This window comes from Homo sapiens, chromosome 3 (genome assembly GCF_000001405.40).
Source record: "Homo sapiens chromosome 3, GRCh38.p14 Primary Assembly".
Taxonomy (NCBI): Eukaryota; Metazoa; Chordata; class Mammalia; order Primates; family Hominidae; genus Homo; species Homo sapiens.
In genome coordinates, this window is record NC_000003.12 from 16781290 (window position 1) to 16804245 (window position 22956).

The window sequence follows — 22956 nt, forward strand, 5'->3', positions numbered from 1 at the left end:
TCACACCAGTCAGAATGGTGATCATTAAAAAGTCAGGAAACAACAGGTGCTGGAGAGGATGTGGAGAAATAGGAACACTTTTACACTGTCAGTGGGACTGTAAACTAGTTCAACCATTGTGGAAGACAGTGTGGCAATTCCTCAAGGATCTAGAACTAGAAATACCATTTGACCAGCCATCCTGTTACTGGGTATATACCCAAAGGATTATAAATCATGCTGCTATAAAGACACATGCACACGTATGTTTATTGCGGCACTATTCACAATAGCAAAGACTTGGAACCAACCCAAATGTCCATCAATGATAGACTGGATTAAGAAAATGTGGCACATATACACCATGGAATACTATGCGGCCATAAAAAAGGATGAGTTCATGTCCTTCGTAGGCACATGGATGAAGCTAGAAACCATCATTCTGAGCAAACTATCGCAAGGGCAGAAAACCAAACACCACATGTTCTCACTTATATGTGGGAATTGAACAATGAGAACACTTGGACACAGGGTGGGGAACACCACACATCAGATCCTGTCGTGCAGTGGCGGGAGTGAGGAGGGTTAGCACTAGGAGATATACCTAATGTAAATGATGAGTTAATGGGTGCAGCACACCAACATGGCACATGTATACATATGTAACAAACCTGCATGTTGTGCACATGTACCCTAAAACTTAAAGTATAATTAAAAAAAAGAAAGTTCCCTTAAACAAATGTGCTCAACATTAGCTAGTTTTCTTTTCAATTGCCTCTTTCTTCTAAAAGTAGTGTGCTAAAAAATTAGAGGGATTGTGTTTCCCAGTTGACAGAGGATTAATTTTATGTAGGAATTGTCACACTTGTGTTTTGAAAGAAAAAAATAACTTCTTAAAAAGTGTCAGTTACACATTGGGGCTGTGCAATGACAATCATGTCTGGCTTCAACAATTCATTTTTTAAAAACAGCTGGGGGAAAACAGTGTTATTTCTTGTCCTGATATTTAAATATCAGCTGCTAGAATCAATAGGAAGGAGGGAGGCCAGGAAGAAGGAGGACAATCTTTGGAATACCCTGAATTCCAGTGATGACCCAGAATCTTATAGCATGTCATGCTTTGGGGATTTAAGTTGTCTGGAAAGCTGTGAGTCTCAGTTTTCCTGGGATATGGGACTTCGATGGATTTAGGAAACAGAATCTTTATATTTGTCAGACTTCTCAAACCACAATACTTTTTTGGCATTTGCCCAACATTTTAATTTAATAAGAATGTCTTGAATCTTTAAAAGTTTAGTATTTTTAATCTTTAAAAACATTATCTTTAACTAAAATATCTTTCCAAGTATTTGAAATAACATTTACATGATAATGTATTTCCTCCAGTTTGGAAGTTCCTTCCCTTTCCCCAGTGCCTCTCTGCCTTTGTCAAGGTTGGCACCTCTTGCCTTTGAAATATAGGAAAATTAACAAATCATGGAGCTAAAAGTAGGAGATGAAAGGGTATAGAGACAAAATATCTGACGGTGACAATCTTTAATTTCAACTGAAGCCAGTTCTATTCCCAAACCGTTCCCAAAATACTTTGTCTTCTGGAGAAATGTAGTCATCAAAGTCTAAACACAAACTGGGAGTAAAGGCTAAAATTTTATTCATTTAAAAATGCTACTTCACAGTGTATTTCAGCAACTAACACTTCAGATTAAATTGGTATATAGTTTAAAATATGCACCTATCTCTTCTTGTTAAAAAAATGCCTATGCACCTATTCTTAGTAGCTTTAAGGGAGGTTTGAATCAATGGGAACGACTAGGCTTTCTGGCAAGGCAGCTGTCATTCAATGAATCTTCTAGTTACTCGGTATTCAGTATGATGTGATCAACTAGAAATGAAATCAGTCAAGTAGGGCTTTGTATCTGGAGGCAAGGGACAGCAGTGAGGAGAAGTAGTTCCCAGGGGGATGATGATACGGACATGGAGGCAGGAGAGCAGGGTCCCTGGTGAGGGCTCCACCCTCATGCCTGGACCTGCGGCCCTAAATGAGAACAGGCATTCCTGTTTTTCACCCAAATGCTGCCTTTTGGCCTGCCACACTACCCTATCCTGTGTCCATATAAACCCCAAACCCCAGGTTCCACGAGCAGAAGGGTGGCAGAGTGGAAGAGCAGCAGAGCAGTACAGCAGAGAAGGAGAGAAGAGAGGAAGCATATGAACGTTGAGAGGAGTCTGGCTGTGGACAGTCAGAGAGATCAGCCGCAAGATGGCCAAACTCCAGGGGAAGATCATCTTCCCACTCCATCCCCTCTCCAGCTACCCATCCTGCTGAGAGTCACCTCTAACACTCAATAAAATCCTCGTATTCTCCATCCTTCAAGTCCATGTGGACTTGATTCTTCCTGGACACTGGACAAGAATTTGAGACATACTGGGTGCAGGAACCCAGAAAGGCCGTCACACTGAGCTGTTTAATACTTAAGCCATCCCCAGACAGCAGGACTAAAAGAGCATTGTAACACCCCTAGACACTGCCATGAGGCTGGAGCCCAAAAGCACTTGCCCTGGCTCCTGCACCTGCTCACCTGACTACTCCAATCCCGTAAGGGGTTTGAGCACATGATGGCAAATGTGTCACACACCTGTCACAAGTCCCATGAAGGGGTCCAGAAAACGCTCCTGTCTCAATGACAGGATGCAGGTAGTGTCTACCCTGCTTCTGCCCAGTGGGGACATCCATTTTCAGCTTAGATCCCAGTGAGGAAGTGACACTCCTGTCACAAAGATGGTAAACAGACTCTCCCTTTGCTCTGGTTAAGTGACAGATGCCACCCAAATGTAGGCAGAGTGCACAGAGAGGAAGAGAGAGAGCCTGGCACAGGGCAGCCATTCCTGAGAGAATAGGTAGAGAGCCAGCATTTTTGGTAGGCAGAGCTTATGGAGGTAATCAAAACCTTAACAATGCTACAATGAAGTCTCAATTCTGCTTTACACATAGAAATACAGAAGAAATCAGGGCCAGTACTGAGAGGGTGGAGAGGAACAGAGCATGGAGCATACAAAAGGAAACCAGCACATTGAAAAATAAAGAAGGGGTATCTCTTGTAGTGCCACTCAAGGTGTGGATTGGTGTGGGGCCACAGATTGCTAGTTACTAGTCTGCAATAAGAGAAATACAGAAATTTAGAGAAAGCATTTAGAAAACATTATAGGAATCTGACACTGTTGCAGAACCTAAGCATGGTCCCGAATTCTTATAATTTATCTTGTAGAGCTATCTGTTTGGGTTGAAGGTAAAAAGAAAATATAAGAGACATATATCTAATATTATTCAAGCCATACAGAAAGTCATGAGTCTGTTGAACAAGGTGCTTGGCAGAATGGGTATTTCAAAACAACTCGAACCATGTATTTCCTCTGCTCTCACACTGCAACAATCAACACAGAAGAGTTTTGTGACTAAATGTGGGGATTTTGGCCCACACATCAAGCAGCAGACAACAACTGGGTGTCCTCCAATTCAATTCCCACATAATCTACCTGGAGACAGTGTCAGATCCCACAGGGTTGTGGCTCATTCTTGCCCCTGCAAGATGGCTTCAAGTCGGGATTCCCATGACCCTCTCTCTGGGTTTGATTAATTTGCTTGAGCAGCTCACAGAACTCAGGGAAACATTTACTTACATTTACTGATTTATTATGAAGGATATTACAAAGAATACAAATGAAGAGACACGTAAGGTGTGGTACAGGTAAAGGAGTGCAGAGCTTTCATACCCTCCCAGGGTGTGCCACCCTCCAGGAGGAACCTCCAGATGTTCAGCTATCTGGAAGCTGCCTTCAATTCCTGTTTTCTTAGGTTTTTATGGAAGCCTCATGACGTCAACATTCCTTCTCCCAGGGTATGGGGCAGGACCCTTTCTGGAATGAGGGTCTTATGATTCACACTCAGAAAGATCAGGGAAGATTAGAGTCCTCACTAGGGGAAGGTGGAAAAAGGTCAGAAATATTCTGTTTCCTGAGGCCTAACATACCCAACATTATAACAAAAGACTATAACAAAGGTTATGGGAGTCATAAGCCAGGAACCCTGGATGAAAAAGTATATGTAAAACACCACAGTGGGTAGTTAGGAGTTAAAATAAGAGAAGGCATGACCCCAAGGGATAATAGTCAGGGTAGAAAAAGAGTGGACTCCTCCCACTGAACAGGATAGAAATCACTATCTGGCCCTTTACAGAAAATGTTTGCCCTGTTCTAGGCTGTTGTTTATCCTATTATTCCCCAATTTATCTCACGTTACACACAGTCACAATGTCCTCTCACATACAGTCTCTCTCCTTTAGACTTCACAGTGACCCATAAAAGTAGGCAGTTTTCCCCATTTTATAGATGAGGAAACCAAGGTATAGAAAGGTTAAATGAATTGCCCAAGATTATGCAACTGACTAAGAGGCAGAGATGAGACTCCAGTTCACATCTTCTGACTTCAAGTCTAGTGTTTTCCCACCTAGCCTCCACTCCTCAGGCTCCAACATGAAAGATATACACCTAAAATTACCCACTCCTTACAGAAAGCCATGCAGCTATTGAGGGATGTCCTTGCTTGAATGCATGGGTATTTAGAAGTTAAAGTAAGGACAGGCATGATGTCTTTCAGAGCATTGAAGAAACCTGGAAAGGTCTAATGGTGATAGAGAAACTGAGGCTCAGGTACTGGAAGACTTTTTTGACACTACAATGTCTCTGTTGCAACTACTGCATTCTGCCAATGTAGTGTCAAAAAAAATCTCCTATAATATGTAACAAATGCCTTAATCAAACTTTCGTTAACAAAACCAGGAAGTGGGCTGGTTTTGGTCCAAGCACCATAGTTGGTCAACCTCTGAACTAGAAGCCTAGAGACTTGAATTGTAATCCTAGCTCTGTTTTAATCTTGGTAGGTAACCTAGTCTAAGTTATTTCTAGTACCTGAGCCTCAGTTTCTCTATCACCGTTAGACCTTTCCAGGTCTCATCAATGCTCTAAAGACAGAAGAGTGAGGCAGAAGACAAGGAACCTTGCAAAAAGATTTTACTGAACAACATTTTGATTAAAAGCAAACATTATAGCAACACATAGGATAACAAGAAGAATTAATTGAGGTGTAAGTACATGGGTATGGATAGGATAAAGCTCAAAAACCTGCAAGGAATTGTGCAGCCTCCATAGTTCCCAAATGGATCAAACAGAGTGAAGGTGACACAGGATTGACTTCAACCTCTTTTGTTATCAGGAAATATCCCTCAGCCCAAAATCAGAGAGTGTCGTGAAACTCAGGGGCCTGAGCGTCTCTGTCTCCAAACCACATGAGCAGGGCTTAAGGCCTATGTGGAAGGGAACCTGTAGTGGAAGTTGTCAGTGTCCTGCTGGTAAGCCCTCAGTACTCACTTTGCCTGTAGGTGGATAGCTTCATGCCCCTAGCTCTCACAACTCTCCTTTTTTGGCCACAGGTACTTTTTTGCCTGCATGTGGGCAGATCAGACATGCTAGCAGTTGACCTTCTCATGAGGTTAACCCTCACCCAATGAGAGATGGGAGCTGGTGGATAAATACTCCAGCTCTCTTGCTTTTTGGACGAGCCAACTCTGAGATGTCTTCTACACTATTTCCCAGATATTCACACAAGGATTGAGTACAGTTTCCCAAGCAGTAAACTCATTAATGCATCTTTCATTGGCCCCTGTCTCTTGCCTGTCTTACTTTTTCCCTCCTTTACCAGCACTTCCTGAGATCAACTCTCCAATAGGTTACTTGCAGATGCCTGTGTTTTGGCTTCTGTTTCTTGGAGAATTAAAAAAAAAAAAAAGACAAAGCTCTTTAGGTATATTATCATTAAGAGATAACCAAAAGCTTTAAAAAATAGATTTCCTTCAGTTTCAGGACCATAAGAAAGTCACCTAAGTGCCAGAATAACAAGTCCATGCTTGTATGGTAGGCTTGCCAGCCTTCAAGATCCAAGAGGAATTGTCATCCATCCATCAATTATTTATTATCTATTCATCATTTATCCACTGAGCTAGCCAGCCAACCAGTTATTTTCTCTATCTACCTATTCATCAGACAAATATTGAGTTGCTGCTCTCTTTCAGATATTATGTTAATCACTGGGAACATGAAGATATTTGATCTTCACTCTTTGGAAGTTAAAAGTCAGTCCAATTGAACAAAGAATTAAAAGTTACACAACAAATGGATCAACCGAGATATAATGCACCATTTGGAGAGCGTAGAGCAAGAGTTGTGACTTTACGCTGGTTGTCTTTACCTTATTTTCCAATAATGTATAATTTGTTCCACAAACATTACCCAGGAATTGGAGTTACCTCTTCCCTCTGACTAAGTTCTTGGCTGAGGTGTCACCTGCTCCTCATATGGTCTCTCTTGTTTCTCACCTCCTCTCATTGTTATCAGGAACTTATTCCCTGAGCTCTAAACATCACACTGTAAAAATATATGAAATAGAATATATATTGGTATGAATGTCTTTAGAAAATATGGTCTGTCATATCCTTCTAGTGCTCCAGTGCCCAGGGGCTCTCATTCTATTCCCTGCTTCAAGGGAAGGCCCATGGCCTGCTATGTTAGTCCATTTTCTATTATGATAGCTGAATACCGCAGACTGGGTAATTTACAGAGAAAAGAAAGTTTTTTTCAGCTCATAGTTCTAGAGCTGCTAAGTTCAAGAGCGTGGCACTGGCATCTGGTGAGGGTCATCCCATGGCAGAAGGCTGGAAGGTAGAAGTTAGTGAATGAGACAGAGAGAGCAAATAGGGACTTAACTTACCCTTTTATGAGGAGCACATTCCTGTGATAACTAGCCCACCCTCCAATAATGATATTAGTCCACCTCTTAAAGGCTCTACCTCTTAGTACTCTTATAATGGGAATTACTTTTTTTTTTTTTTTTTTTTTTTTTTTTTTTTTTGAGACAGAGTCTCACTCTGTCACCCAGGCTGGAGTGCAGTGGCGCAATCTTGGCTCACTGCAAGCTCCACCTCCTGGGTTCATGCCATTCTCCAGCCTCAGCCTCCCAAGTAGCTGGGACTACAGGCACCTGCCACCACGCCCGGCTAATTTTTTGTGTTTTTTCAGTACAGACAGGGTTTCACCGTGTTAGCCAGGATGGTCTCGATCTCCTGACCTCATGATCTGCCCACCTCGGCCTCCCAAAGTGCTGGGATTATAGGCGTGAGCCACTGCGCCTGGCTGGGAATTAAATTTTAACATGAGTTTTGGTGGGAACATTCAGACCCTAGCATTCTATCCCTGGTGCTGTAAAACTCATGTCCTTCTCATATGCAAAATACATCCACTCCATCCCAACAGCCCCCACATTGTTAACTTGTTCCAGCATCAGCTCAAAAGTCCAAACTCCAGAGTCTCACCTAAATCAAATATAGGTGAGACTCTGACATAGTTTGGCTCTGTTTCCGCACCCAAATCTCATCTCAAATTGCAATCCCCATGTGTCAAGAGAGGAACCAGGGGGAGGTAATTGGATCACGGGGGTGATTTCCTCCATGCTGTTCTCAAGATAGTGAGTTCTTACCAAGAGCTGATGGTTTTAAAGTGTAGCACTTCCTCATTCTTGCACTCACTCCGTCTTGCAGCCTTGGGAAGTAGGTGTTTGCTTCCCCTTTGCCTTCCACCATGATTGTAAGTTTCTTGAGGCTTCCCCAGCCATGCAGAACTGTGAGTCAATTAAACATCTTTCCTTTATAAATCTTAGGTATTTATTTGTAGCAGTGTGAAACAGACTAATACAGACTCAAAGCATGATTTGTCCCAAGGTAAATTCCTCCAGCTATTGAGCCTGTGAAATCAAAACAATTTATCTACTTCCAAAATACAATGGTGGGACAGACATGGGATAGACCTTCCCATTCCAAAAGGAAGAAATAGGCAAAAAGAAAAGAGTAACAGGCCCTAAGTTAGTGTAAAACCCAAAAGGGCAGACATTAATTTTTAAAGCTGGAGAATATGATCACATGGGGCAAGAAAAAAAAAAAAAGGCTGGAGTCTTTGACTCCATGTCCTGCTTCCTGGGCACACTGGAGGGGTTGAAGTCTTGTGCCTGCAGCTATCCCAGGCTGGCATTGCATGCAAGTAGCTCTACAGTTCTGGGGTCTTTAGGGTTGCCTTAACCACATGCTTTCACTGAGTATTGCTCCACTAAGGGCTCTCTGTTGTGACTCTCCACTCCCACACTCGACTGTGGCAGGTGTCTGCCTAGGTTTTCACACATGGTTTGCAGCATCCTTTGCCATCCAGATAGAGGAAGCCATGCCTTCACAGCTGTTACATTCTGTACACTTGCAGAATTAGCACCACGTGAACAGTACCAAGGCTTACCATTTGTATCTTTCAGAGCAGTGGGTTGAGCAATATTTGAGCCCATCTGAGCCACAGCTGGGGCAGACAAGGGGTGCTACACCAGAGTGCAGGGAGCAGAGTAGCAAGGTGGCCCTGGACATTGAGCCTGCAGAGGGTACCCTGTTCCCATTCCCCAAAACCATTCTGCCTTACTAGAGCTTTGGGCCTGTGATGCAAAAAAAGGCAGCCTTGAAGATCTCTGAAATGCCTTCAGAGTCTTTCTCCCATTGTCTTGTTGAATAGCATCTGCCTTCCTTCTATCCATGCTAATCTCTTTAGCAAACAGTCATTTGGCCATACCCATGCATACTTTTCTGTTCCTTACATAGCCACGCTGTGAATTTTCCAAGTCTTTTCACTCTGCTTCCCTTTTAGTCATAAATTCTGTCTTTAAATTATTTCTCTCTTCTAGCATCTTACTTGAAGCAGTTAAAAGTAGCCAGGCAGCAGCAGCAGCCTAAATGCTTTGCAATTTAGACATTTCTTCTGCCATATATAATAGTTCATCACTCTTAAATTCCAAACCTTCCATAAAGCAATTTTAGGCTTGGATAAAGTTCAGCCAAGTTCTTTGCTACTTTACAACAAGAATGACCTTTGCTCTAATTTTTGATATCCTGTTCTTCAGTTCCATCTGAGACTTTGTCAAAGAGACTTTTACTGTCCCTATTTCTATCAACATTTTGGTCACGATCACTTAAGTCATCTCTAAGAAGATTCAGACTTTCCCTAGTCTTCTTCTGATCCCTCTTTATAATCGCTCTTAATGCTCCATTCACAGCAATGAAGGTTTTTCCAGCCTGCTTCCCCAAATTCTTACAGCCTCTGCCCATTACCTAGTTCCAAAGCTGCTTCCACATTTTTAGGTATTGTTATAGCAATGGCCCCACTTCTATGTATCATGCTGATACATGACTGAAGGTTCCTGAGGCCTCCCCAGCTATGTGAAACTGTGAGTCAATTAAACCTCTTTTCTCCATAAATTACCCAGTCTCAGGTAGCATCTTTATAGCAGTGTGAAAACAGGCTAATACAGCCTCCATGCCAGTCAAAGTCAAGGTGAATCTAGAATGGGGCTGAGTAAATAGCATGACCAACTGATATAGTTTGCCTGGAATGGTCCTGGATTTAGCCCTGAAAATCATGGGAAAACACGAGGATTAGTCATCCTGTCAGTGCGATAGCGTAGCACTCTGTTCTCTAGTTTCCTTTTTAATGCTGTAGTGGTTTAAGATGGCCACAAATTCTTTGATACTCCTCCATTGACAAGTGGGGTCCAGATTCCCTCCTCTTGAGTATGGGCAGCTCTATGAGTGTATAGAATACAGGGGAAGTGATACTGTGGCAGTATCTTGGCTCAGGCTTTAAGGCACTGTCATCGTCCGCTTGCCACGTCTTGGAATACTTTCATTTGGAGCCCTCAGCCACCATGTAAGAAGCCCAATTACTCTGAGACTGCAGTGCTGAAGTAGTCACACATGGGTACTCCTGTTCACAGTCCCAGCTGGGCACAGCCTTCCATCCAACACTGTGGCACCAGACATAGTGAAACTGTCTTGGATATTCCAGATCAGAATCACATGAATACCACTAGTGAGGTCACCAAGTGATCTCAGTTGAGGTCATATGAAATAAGAGAATTGCCCCACTGAGTCTTAGTCAAATTTTTGGCCACTAAATTATCTTATAAGGTATAATAAAATGGTTGTTTTTTTTTTTTAAGCCATCAGGTTTGGGAATGGTTTGTTATGCCATAGAAGATATCTGAGGCAAATGCTAAAACTGGCCTAAATAAACCATACGTATTTTTTCTACTTGCTATTATAAGCAATAGCCTGTCTTCAGATAATGTTCTGCATAAGATCTATGCCATCTTTGACTGACTTCAGCAAGCCTTTTCTGAATGGGCAAATAGTATAAGGGGAGATGAGATGCTGGCTTTGACTACCTACATCCATTCTTCCTGTGTCCTTAGCACACCACCTTGGCACACTTCCTTCCCTGTGAATTGGCTCATCTCTGTGCCATGTGCTTCAAGGTCTACTTCTTGGTGGGATGCACATCTTTCATTCGTCTTTGGCGGTTTTTTGGCAGTAACAAAGGGCACCCCTCAAGGCTGCAGTCTCCACCAGTGAAATCTCATACACCCTCACATTCATCTAGAGAAGAAACACTTGACTGCTCCTTTCCAATTTGGCCCCATGATTGGAAACATGATTGATGAATCTGTAGATTTCTGGAGAACAAGGGCTGTGTTTTAAATGTTCTTGGGTTCTGGTAGCTTCTCTTTGGATGAATGAATATATTCTCACTATTGTGGCAGTATCAGGCAGCTTTGCTTCTGCTACTTCCCTTGCCTGATCTTTTCACTTTTAGTGTCTTTTTGTTTCTAGGAAAGGTAGTGTTGGGGTTCAGAAAATGACTCCCCAAAGTATCTGCCTTGGCATGCTGAGTACTTCGAACTAAAGGAGATTGGAAGGCCTCAGAAGCAGAGTCTCTCTTTGACCTTCTTCTGCTCTCCTTGTCTCCTGCCCCTCTTTCTCCTCCAAAGCAAGTCATAGCGAGTCAAAACTTAGAAATGTCACTCTTTTTCTTCTCTCTTGTCCTTTGAGGACCCTGATTCCAGGGGGTCCTGCCCCATACCTGGGAGGAAGAAATGCTACAGAGAGAGATCAAGAAGAACATAAACAGACAGGTCTTGCTGGGTCCCCGCTGACCTGACAGTCTATTACCATTAGATAATATCCTTTTTATCCAATCACATTTTATATGATTGTCCATTCTTCATAAAAATCTAACCACAAAAACAGACAGTTTTCCATGTGTCTTTGGGTCTACATTTCTGAAGTCTCCTGTATCATGTACAATTTTGATAAAATAAATTTGCTACGTTTTTCTCTTATTAACCTGTTTTTTGTTACAGGAGTGTTGGCCATGATCCTTATAATGCATGAGGAAAGGTAGCACCCCTTTTCATCTTTACAGTAGGTCTCAAGAAAGAGCAGAGTCTACGGTTGTTAGCAGAGGATTTTAAAGTAAAAAGGGGTGAAAGGATTTTGCATCATTTTGAGACTCCTCAGTTCTCACTGAATAATTAGCTTCTGATTCTCTTCCTACTTAAACTTTTGAATGTTCATGGATTGTGGAAAAGGAGAAGGTGACACAAATGCTCATTTGTGATGCATAGAGGTGGCAGAAGGAAATGTCAGGGATCAGGCTCACAGAAGCAGCTGATGGGTGTCAGCTCTGTGGGAACATGCTACCTAAAGAATCTCAGAATGTTGGAGCTGTAAGGGACTGGTGGGGAAAAGAAGTATAAGAACATGGTGATATTGATGGTTGGTGGAATTAGGATAAGTACTCTACATCCCAGTCAAATGCCCTTGAACTATACCATCTTATAACAATGTGGCTTTCTCGGTCAGGATGGTGGTCCACATGCATTTGTCTTCCCATTCTCTCTCTGAATTCTATTGAAATTATGACACAGAAGTTCCAGAGGAAATAAGCCCCCAAGAGTGTGGAGCGTGGGAGTGAGTTATTAATGAATGTCTGGATGGCAGACAGTGAATGGGAGCACACTGACAGGTAAACAGATGGAGGAACCCACCACTGCCAGAATGAAGGCTGCAGCTCAGCCTGGAGCTCATCTCCCCCAGGGTCCCAGTAATATTGGAAGTGGAGAGTCACCAGGTAGAAAGAGCTAGTGTGGGAGGTGGGATGGTAAACTGTGGAGAAAGTGTAAATTGGAAGATTGCCTGTGGCAAAGCTATGCAAGTTTCCCTGCCCCCACGACTCACATGCATAAATGCTCCCCTCGCCCACCCATGGAGCTGCAGGAGAACTAGCAGCTAGGGGTTCATCTCCAGGACAAACGTGGGAGCACTGTCGGCTAAAGATATCACAAGAGCTCCTTGGGGAGAGAGCAGGAGCTTCCAAAGTGGGGGGCTGGTGTCTCACTGCAAAGCCCTTCTGATTCTCAGAGGGGGTTTTCATGATCTCATATCCTAAAGTGAAGCTGCCGTCAGATGACTATATGCTCTCACATTTACCGTGAAGCCTCTTAGAAAAGGACCGACACAACTGAGGAAGGAGTCACCAGCCATTTGCATTAGTCTGCATGAGCCTTTATATTTTAAGATGAATGGGTGACCAAAAACTCTTAGCCCTTTGCAAGCAACCATTTGCACAAGAAAGAGAAACAAAGAGGAAATGATAGAAAAACTGAGTATGGAGAAGTGAACATTGAAAAGCAATCCCTATTTCAGCCAGTGAGAATATTTACAAAAAGAGAAAGCAATCAGGAAGTGAGAGTTCTTGGATATTAAAAATGCTTGCTATACATCAAAATAAGTAATGATGGTAATGAAGTATAACTCACTGAATGAAATAAGAGTCCATGAGTCTGCACAGACTTTAAACAGATGGACAAGTAGAGAGATATAGAGAGAGACAGAGAGATAGAGAGTTATAGAGAGAAGGAAAAGAACTTCCTAACAGTGGAATGACAATGAATAACTATAGAATAAATGATGGAATTAGAAAATCCTTATTTTGCAAACACTGTAGTATTAATTCATTCAGGCAAGAATCATTTATGGATATTAAAACTCATGTGTAAAAGTGTGATAAGGAATAAGATTTTTATCACCCCACAAATTACTTACAAAATTACAAAAGGGAAATAGTAATTCAACAATGACAAAAGCTGGTAGTTACCACTTGAACTAAGTGATCAAAGTCAACATCACAATAATGAGTCAACATCATGTGCCTCTTGCTATGCTGTACAAGGAAAGATATAGTATCACTCTGTGATATTCCTGTTACAAATGCACAGTCTGAATCTAAGCACAAGGAAACATCAGACAAATCCATATTAAAGGACACTTTGCAAAATAAATGGCTTGTGTTTGCCCACAATTTCAACATCATGAAAGACAAAGAAAAGGTGAGAAACTGTACTAGATTAAAGAAGACTGAAGAGACAACCAAAACTAAATGTAAAGCATGATCCTGGATTTAAACCTAGACCAGAAAAAAAAACTATAAAAGATATTTTGAGATAATTGGAAAAATTTAAATAAATCTGCAGATTAAGCAATAGTGTATCAATTTAAGTTTTCTGTTGTCGAAAATTCACATTGGAGTATTTTAGTGGGAAAGCGATTCAATATTTGCAATTTATCCTCAAATGTTCAGAGTAAGAGAGAAATAAAGCAAATGTGACAAAATGTCAACAATTAACAAACCTGGGTAAAAGGTAAAAGGTAATTCTTTATACTATTCTGGCTACTTTTCTGTAATTTTAAAATGGTTTCCAAACAAAAACTTTTGCAATAATGTCAAAAGGCAAGTAAAAACTGAGAATAAATATTTGCAACATATATTACAGATAAAAGAGAATTCCTGTCCACCAATCTATGTACATGAATATACATAAAGAGCTCTTAAAAATGAAGGAAAAAGAAAGTAGAAATCTAACTAAAAAATAGATAAATGACATGTGCAGACAGTTCACAGAAAAAGGTTTACCAAAGGCCCTTACATTTAAAGAAATGCTCAACTTTACTCATCTTAAAAGAAATGTTAATTAACCGTACTGGTGTACCGTTTTATCTATTAGATTAGTGAAAGTTAAGAATTTTAACAACTGCCTGTTGTCAAAACTGCTGGGGTATCAGGCACCAAAATATATCATTCTGGGGACTGCAAAGTGGTGGGATCCCTATGGAGGGGAATTTGTCAGTATCTAATAAGACCACTGTTCCTACCCATTTAGCCTTTGATCCAACAATTCTGCTTTAGGCATTTATCCTGAGAATATATTTCTAAAAATATGAAACAACATTTTACAAGATTATTCATTATAGCACTAATTATAATACTAAAAATACTGGAAACAACCTAAATATCCGTTGTATTATTTTTCCAGGCTGCTGTAACAAAATACCACAGACTGGGTGGCTTGAACAGATGTTTATTTTCTCACAGTTCTGGAAGCTGGGAAGTCCAAATCAAGGTGTCAGGAGGATTGGTTCCTCCTGAGACCTCTCTCCCTGTCTTGCAGATGGCTTCCTTCTTGCTCTGTCCTCACATGGCCTTTCCTCTGGTGTCTCTTCCTCTTTTCATAAAGAAATCAATCTATTGGATTAGGACCTCACCCTTATGTCCTCATTTAACCTTAATTACCTCTGTAAAGGCCCTACCTCCAAATATAGTCACATTCTTGGGTAAACGGGACTAGGAGACTTCAATATATGAATTGGGGGAGGGACATAATTCAGTTCATAACACCCATCCACATGAAAGTGATTTGACTAGACCATGAGATAGTCACACAGTGCAATACCATGCAGCTATTAAAGAAAAAGATATGAGGAAATGCTCTTTGAATTGATATAGGACTATTCTTAGATGATTAAAAAAAAACCCAAGAGGCGAAATATTCTATATGTTATCTAAGAGAGAAGTGTGTGTGTGTGTGTGTGTGTGTGTATGTATATGTATATAGACATATATGTATGTATAGGTATATAGACATACACACACATATGCTGTACTGAGAATAAACTTATATGTCTATGTATATATGAGTACGGGGAATACTCAGAGGTTATATACATACAGTATGTGTGTATAATCTCTGAGTATTCCCAGAAGATTTTCTATTTGTAGCAATCAAATTGGGTTACTGACTGCTTATAGCAGCAGTCTTTTAACATGTAGTTCTTTCTAATTAATGAATCAATTAATTACTTTCTGTAGCTTAATTGAACTTAGAACTGTGAACTGTGAGTCTTAAAACTTAATTCTAATTAACCAAGATTTTATTGATCTAATGTTACTTCTAATTAGTTGTCATTGCCACATATACTAATATTTTTTAAAGGACTTGGGGATGTAACTTGAAAGACAGTATTTTTAGGACTTAGGAATGCCTTGGTTTGCAGGTAACAGAAAACTTCACACTTCACTAGAAGTTGCTTAAACAAATGGAGGTTTATTTTCCTCTGTAACAAATGTGTCATATATCAGCAGCCCAGGTGAATGCTAAATGTAGACAGACTATATCTTTCCACTCAGCCATTCTTAGCATGTGAGCTTGTTGCCTCATGATCACAAGATAGGTCTGCTGCAGTTCCAGGTATCATATCTGTATTTCACACACACACACACACACACACACACACACACACACACACGATGGAACAGTGACATCTTAACTCTGTCCCTTTTATCAGGAAAATCAGGAAAGCAAAAACATTCCTAGAATCCCCCAGTGAGCTTTATCTTACATCTCTTTGGCTAGAACTAGTCATGTGGCAACTTGTACCAGCAAAGAAGGAGTAACAGTGGAAACAATGTTGTCATGGCTGACATTAACCAATCAAGATTCACCACCTGTGGCTCAGCACATTGCACTCAACTTCTAGAGAAGGAAAAAGTGAGAGACTGTTCTTTTCTCAGTGCAAATCTATCTTTATTTATCTCTGCCTGTCACCTTATTTTTTTCTGTCTTTTTACTTTTTTAGCTAGCTAGTGAGCCACTTTTAATTCCTCTTACATCTGTCTTCCCAGTATGCATTTTTAGGGACCCTCTTTCCAGCCAGTCCTGCAATAACTCTGCCCTCCTCGCTCAAATCCACGTCTATGGCATATTCTTATTACATAGATAACCCTTTCTAGTTTCTGTAGCAACAGGGATAATTCAAACATAACCAATAAAACATCAAAATGATTTGTTGAAATCCCACAAGTTTTCATCGGACAAAACAGTGTTGTTGGAGCTGGCACTAAAATAGAAAGACTGATTGGTGATTGTTGTCTACATATGGATTCCCCAAGAAGCCCTGGGACCAGGAATTGAGTGCAAGTAGTTTATTTGGGAGATAATCACAGAGGGCACTGGTGTGAGGAAGTGGGACAGGAAAAGGAAGGCTTCAATGAAAGGTACAAGATGAAGCCAGTTATCACTGAGGACAGACCTAGAAGTCAGTATAGACCATGCCTCCAGGGTCATCCCACCTGAGGGCAGAAGGAAGTGTAGTATTTATCCTTCAACTCTTGTTGTTGGGCTGCGGCATGGGGATAGGCATTAATTCACTGGGACTTGTGTCTTCCTAAGTTTGGACAGAGTGGGCTCCAACCACACAAATAAGCCCCTAGGTGGCTGGAAGTCAGGCAGTTGTACACTACAATGGTAAGGCCAAGGCACAGAATATGCCTTGGAATTGTCCCACTGTGGAACAGGGAAGCTGGGTATTTGTTTGCCAACTCTAACCCTCATTGGTTAAGAAATGCTTCTGGGGTTGGTAAATCCCCAGCACTTCCAGGCTGCCCTGAGCATAGCTGAGCAAGACCCACACTTGTGCCACAGAAAGCTCTTCCTCAGGCATGGAAGCAGAAAGGCTCAGGCTTGAAGAGGGAAGCTGTCAGCATGCATAGAAAATTCACGTTGCAGCTTTAGGGAAACTTAAGTTGGACTGATGGGATATGAGACTGGTAGGATGTGGAGGGTTTGCTACCCACACCATCCTGTAATTAATTCCTCCCTTACAGGTAGTCATGTGACACTTTACAAATTCCTTCATGATAGCCCTGATTACTCCATACTTGTTTGTTTGTGTAGTATGTATTAAGCACATCATATGTTTCTGTTTTGCATTCAGTCCTCACAACAACTCAAGAGGCTGGTACTATAATTATCCTCATCTAATAATGAGAAAACTGAGTCACAGGGATTAACTAATTTTTTGTTTATGTGCTTATTTCTGCTTCCAGACCATGAGCACGTGAAAGGCATGGTCTTTGTGGTTTTTTTTTTGTTTGTATCCAACACACTGACTGGCATTTCAGGAGTTTGTATCCAACACACTGACTGGCATTTCAGGAGTACTTGATACATATTACTTGAGTCAGGTTATTCAGAAGACTCAAAGTCACAATGGAACATGGAAAGAAGTGCATGGCTTTAACCAATGCCATTTTTAGAACTGCTCTTCAATAATTAATCAATTTGGTGGCAAACAGGGTTTCTACTAACATTTCTAGAAGTGGGCATCAAAGATTTGTCAAGAAAATGAAGTTATTTTAATTGTTAATTTTCAAAAACAGAGAGGACAATATTTTAAAACTTTATCCTATTCTGTTTTATTAATCTTGAAATGTTTTATTTTATCTCATTTGTGGATTTATCTTGTGGCCAACGCTCAAAGCATTGCTAAAAGTGGACGTTGCTCAGTCAGAATAGGCTAATATGTGATGCTGTAACAAGCAACCCTAATATCTCAGTGGTTTCAAAGAACAAAGATTGACTTACACTCACACTCATGTCTGCTTTGTGTTAGCTAGGAGCTCTGATCTGTGTCATCTTAATTCTGGGACCCGGGTAGATGGAGCATCCACTGTCAGGAACATTGGCGGTTGCCAAGGCAGAAGGCAAGAACATTATGGAGGAGATCATTCTGGCAGTGAATTTCTCAACCTGGAGATGACAGACATCATTTCTGATTACAACTCACTTCCTAGAACTAATCACATGGCACCACTACACCATAAGGAAGACTAGAAGTGCAATCCTGCTGTATGTCCTGAAGGAGAGGAGTCTGGACATTGATAAACAGTACTAACAATTAACATAAGCACTCATTTTCATCATTATTTAGCCTGACACTGATTGGATAGTCTCCAGCACCTCTTCCCTGCTCTCCAACTTCCTCACAGCAACCACTATAATATTTCTCAAATATGTTATGTCATAAAAAATAAACAAAACCCCTTGATATACCTTCATTGCTACCAGGGTAAAATCTGCCTTGTCCTTGACAAGGCCCCCATGACCTGGCCCCTGCTGACTGTACTGCCCTGCTCACGTGTCTGTTTATTGTATATGCTGTTCATCCCACTAGAATGAGGTACAAGTCTTCCTCTTCCCTTCTTCCCCCCTCTGCTTTGCAGAGTGTCAGGAGATTAATTTTCAGCCTTGCCTAATGAGACAGTGGGTTGGATTGGCAGATCTTACTACAACTTTGTCTATAAAAGATACACTTGAAATTTTCTTAAATTCTAGGAAGTATAGGCATTTTTTCTTTTCTCCTTTCCTTCCTTTTTTCCTTTCTACAAATATTTATTTGAGTATCTACAAGGCCTCCTGATGGGTCGTGGGAATATAAAGTTCATCCAGACATGGTCCCTGCCCTCATCCAGCTTATGGTTTGGTGGGGGAGACATATTAATCACACTGCATAAGTTTGAATTAGATTCAGATACAAGTTGAAATAAACTAAAATGAAGATGAGTTACACAAGATAGAAGGTTACTTCTCTGTCATGTCACTGTAGGTAGACCAGTGTTGATACTGTGTCCCACAGTGTTAGTGACTCAGGTTCCTTCTGTCTTGTTGTTCCTTATCCCCAGCATGTGGCTTCCACTTCATGGTCCAAGATAATGGCTTAGTCTCCAGCCATCATGTATTCCAGCCAGAGGAAGGAGAAAGGTATAATGAAAGGCATGTCCTGGAAAATGAACACACCACTTCCACTTACAAATCTTTGGCTGTAGTTTAGTCACACCTCCACACTTAGCTGTAATAGGGGCTTTTAAGTCATGTGCCCTGTTAAAAACTGGGGCTTCTGTTACCAAGAAAGAAGGTGAAAGCAGGCAGAGGGACCAGGCTTGGTCTAGAAGATTAGTTTTAAAGAGAAACTTAAAAAGAATTGAGATCTGAAAAATAGGTAGGCTTTAACCAGGGGAAGAGTGACCAGGAAGAATAAACATCATGTGCGAAGGACCTGTGGCAAGAGGGAGCCGGCCTGTTGGAAGGACTAGAAACAAACAAGCAAACAAAATTCCATAGTATCTGAAGTACAGAGGAGGAAGGAATGTGAAGCAATGTGAAGGAATGTAAACGTCCCCTATGCAGTCAGGGGACAATGTTGCACAGCCTTGGAGGGCTTATTAGGGATTGTGATCTTCACTCTAAAAACAATGGTATGTCATTAAAGGTCTTTAGGAGGATAGTATGATCAAATTTACATTGTAACTTGTAGGAAACAAATTAGAGAGGACAAGAGTGGATGTTTAAAGACCAGAGACCTCCAGATGAGAGATGAATGTAACTTGATCTAAGATAATGCTAGGAAAGAAAATAAAAATGAGAGGAATCAAGAACTATTTTTAGAAGGCAAACTCAACAAGACTTAGGCATGAATTAGTGTGGGAAGGTAGTGAGGAAGAGAAGGAGGAAGGGATAAGAATGGAGCAAGAAATAAGAAATGAATTTAAGAATATTCTTTCTTAAATATGAAAATGAAAATTGGCATTCAGGCAATGCAAGGGGATCTCAGGATACTTGTGCAACATAGCACACATAAAGTACTATAATTTAAAATCACTTGAGACATGATGTTCATATAGGTCAATTATAAGTTGTCTCTCTTAAGATTTATTTTAAGAAGTACATCTAGTCTTCATGATTTACATTAAAATTATTTATTTAAAATTATGTTGTTGCTGTTAAGATTTATTTGAAGAAGTACATCCAGTCTTCATGATTTGCATTAAAATCCAAATCCATTTTGCTTTTGGTTTAATATTTGCTATCAGTTTCACATTGTAGGAATTTAAAAAAAATCCACTCTATTCTAGAGGCAGTACTGACCCTCCAAAACGTGTAATGTGGTCTCTACAGATTTTGAAGTGATGAAATCTCCATTTCCTCTGCAGCCCTCTCAAGTTCCTCTTAAAGAGGAAGTGAAAGTTAACTCCCAGTTCTTCCTGGGCACAGGAGGACAGCTGACTGGAAAGAATATATATAAATGGATTATATTCAAGAGTGCCTTAGATAAAGGAAATACCAGTCATTCATCCTACAAAATTTATTTGGCACTATCCTGTGTCAGGCCCTAGGCATAACTGGAATGGTCAGACTAGACAAACTGAGGCTGTCAGAAGGCATCAGGAAGAAAAAAATCATGATGCAAACTATCTGCTTTCCTTTGTCTTGAGATTAACCAGTAGTTTCCATAACTCGGTGTGCATCTGATTTTTTTGTTACAATTACAAAAATAATTAACTTTAATTTTTACACTTAGATGCAATGCTAAGGGACTGTTTGGACCACAATTTAGTCTCTGCTTTGAGTATATTGAAAATAGCCCAAAGTAGCTGTCAAGGCATAAACAACTCAGGAGGAAAGCATCGCTGTGGTTTTACTGAACAGATGGTCTGATGACGTCAGTGTCTCCAAATTACCTGCAGCCAAAGCAGATGGAAAAATTAACATCGAAGCCCAAGCTTGATGGCAGACAGGGAGTCACAGAGAACTTCAGGGGAGAAAGTCACATGGGATGATTTCTTTGCTTTGTTTTCAAGCTCTACGAGGAATCTTTTTCTCTTCCCAAATTCCTTGAATAAAATCACAAGAATTATTACAGTTGGTCCCACAAACAACCACCACGAAGACAGGGCTGGAGGACATGGCATTCAGTAATGCCTCTGCCACTAAAAAATAATATTGATTCTAAAAAGAGATTATTAATTGTGTAAAAGCGTTGTGTAGCTGAAAAGAAACATCTCAGCGCTACAATTGAATATGACAGTTCTTGGAAAATCATCATAATGGCTGCATATTTAGCTCTGGACACATTGTATTTTGAGAGATTTACATTCCATTTTTCTCCAAAAGGCTGCATTACAATTAACATTTTCACCTAGGACTGACTGCCCAGCACTTTATCTCTGTCGATCTTATTTCCTTGTTTAGCGTTGTGTTTTCACCTTTTCCTGCATGCCAGTGTCTGGGTCTTTATTTCCATTATGCAAAGTTGTCAGCTGCATAAAGTGATGCATTCCAGCCTTAACTATAGATCAGCCAATCTGTGCTGGATTATCTTGAGCTCAAGATCTAAAATCTGAGTCAGAATCATAGAGCTTTCTGTTTACAAATGAAGAAGTAGGTATTCAAGTTTCCATACTTGTCTGTGAGCACAGAGTGGGGAAGTGGCTGAAGGCAGAACAAGAACACAGGGGTCCACTTTCTAAGGCCTCGTGGCCTTTATAGCTCTACAAACCCCAAGTGTCCCTAACTCTTCTCTCTCAAGGGATACAGACTCTGATATAACTGGATTCTATGCTCCAAACTCAAAGGGAATGCAGTAGAAGCTGAAAAACGAATTTTTTGATGTATTTTTCTAGAACACTATTGTCTAATTTTCATGGCAGCCTAGCATGGTGCAAGGTTGTCTTGGTTTAAGTTCCAGGAAAAAATACCCAGCAAGAAGAATCTGAGTACAAGAAATTTTGGGGAGAGATGGTCCCAGGAAGCAAAGGAGGGGAAGAGAGGAAGCAAGACAAGGAAGGGGAAAAATAAGCCTCAGAGTCATCCCAACCAAGAGGCAAGGGAGATGGGGTATGTATCCTCCAACTCTCATCTGTCATTATATGAGAGCTGTTTCCAGGGGCATTAACTTCCTCTGCTTCTGAGACTAATGGCCTGCCTCACTGGGGTGAGAGAAAGCCCTCAAGTGGAGCGTGGCAGATGCTTGCAACAGAAGGCAGTGGAAAGATGTGGGGTGTGGGCAGAGCATGGGCAGCAGTTGCTATAGTCAGATATCGGCTCACATCTGTATCCATTGACTTGCTGGATGGTCTCAGACAAGGTACTTTCCTTCTCTAATTCTAAATTTTTTCATCTGTAAAATGGGGAGAACAGTACGATCATGTAATATTACGAGCAGTAAATGGAATGATAATCCAGGTAAAGTGCTTAGCACAATGCTTAACACAGAGGAGGCCCTTGATATGGGGCATTATTATCATTGTTTGTTTTCTTGCCTGCGTTAAGTGCCTGGGGAAAAAATGAAATTTAGAATCACATCAGGTGCTACAGCAGATAGAGCCCTTAGGTCGACCTCCAGATTTCACAGCAGAGGAAGCTTGAGGATGAGGGAAGTGGCTGTCTGTCCCATGAAAAAAATCTTCTATTAGAGTGTGGCAGAGCCAGACCTGTACACTAGAGCATCTGGTTCTATGTGCAGTGCTCTTTCCAGCACCCTGAACTGACTCCTTTAGAATTATTTGTAGAATATAGATCTAGGAGGAAGAGTGAATGATCATTGTGTTCTGGATGGCAAAAATGTTTTCCTCACAACTTGCAGTGGCAGTCTGTGTGGCTGTGTTGAGAAAGATTCTGATGACATGGTACATGAGGTAAATGTGTGTGATTGGATTACCAATGTCTGCCATTGATCTGGGAGCGCACTGGCTGGGTATACACTGATCCTGTTGGGGTTGAAGTTATTAAGAAAGTTGACTGCTGGACTTGAATTTAGCACTAAGGGAACAAGATAACCATTTTGTTTGTTCATTTTATTGCAATGATAATGCTTATTGATCATAGAAAAATTTTAAAGATATAAACAAGTATGATGGTTAATACCAAGTGTCAACTTGATTGGATTGAAGGATGCAAAGTATTAATCCTGGGTGTGTCTGTGAGGTTGTTGCGAAAGGGGAGATTAACATTTGAGTCAGTGGGCTGGGGAAGGCAGACCCACCCTTAATCTG

At 40.9% G+C, this 22956-nt stretch overlaps 1 annotated feature.

Moving 5' to 3' along the window:
- Window positions 7834-8807: an enhancer, noted in NCBI's record as "OCT4-NANOG-H3K4me1 hESC enhancer chr3:16830630-16831603 (GRCh37/hg19 assembly coordinates)". NCBI's record gives its function as "activates a minimal SCP1, AML or CMV promoter by ChIP-STARR-seq in naive H9 embryonic stem cells {active_cell/tissue: H9 hESC(naive)}" and the evidence as "EXISTENCE:reporter gene assay evidence [ECO:0000049][PMID:30033119]".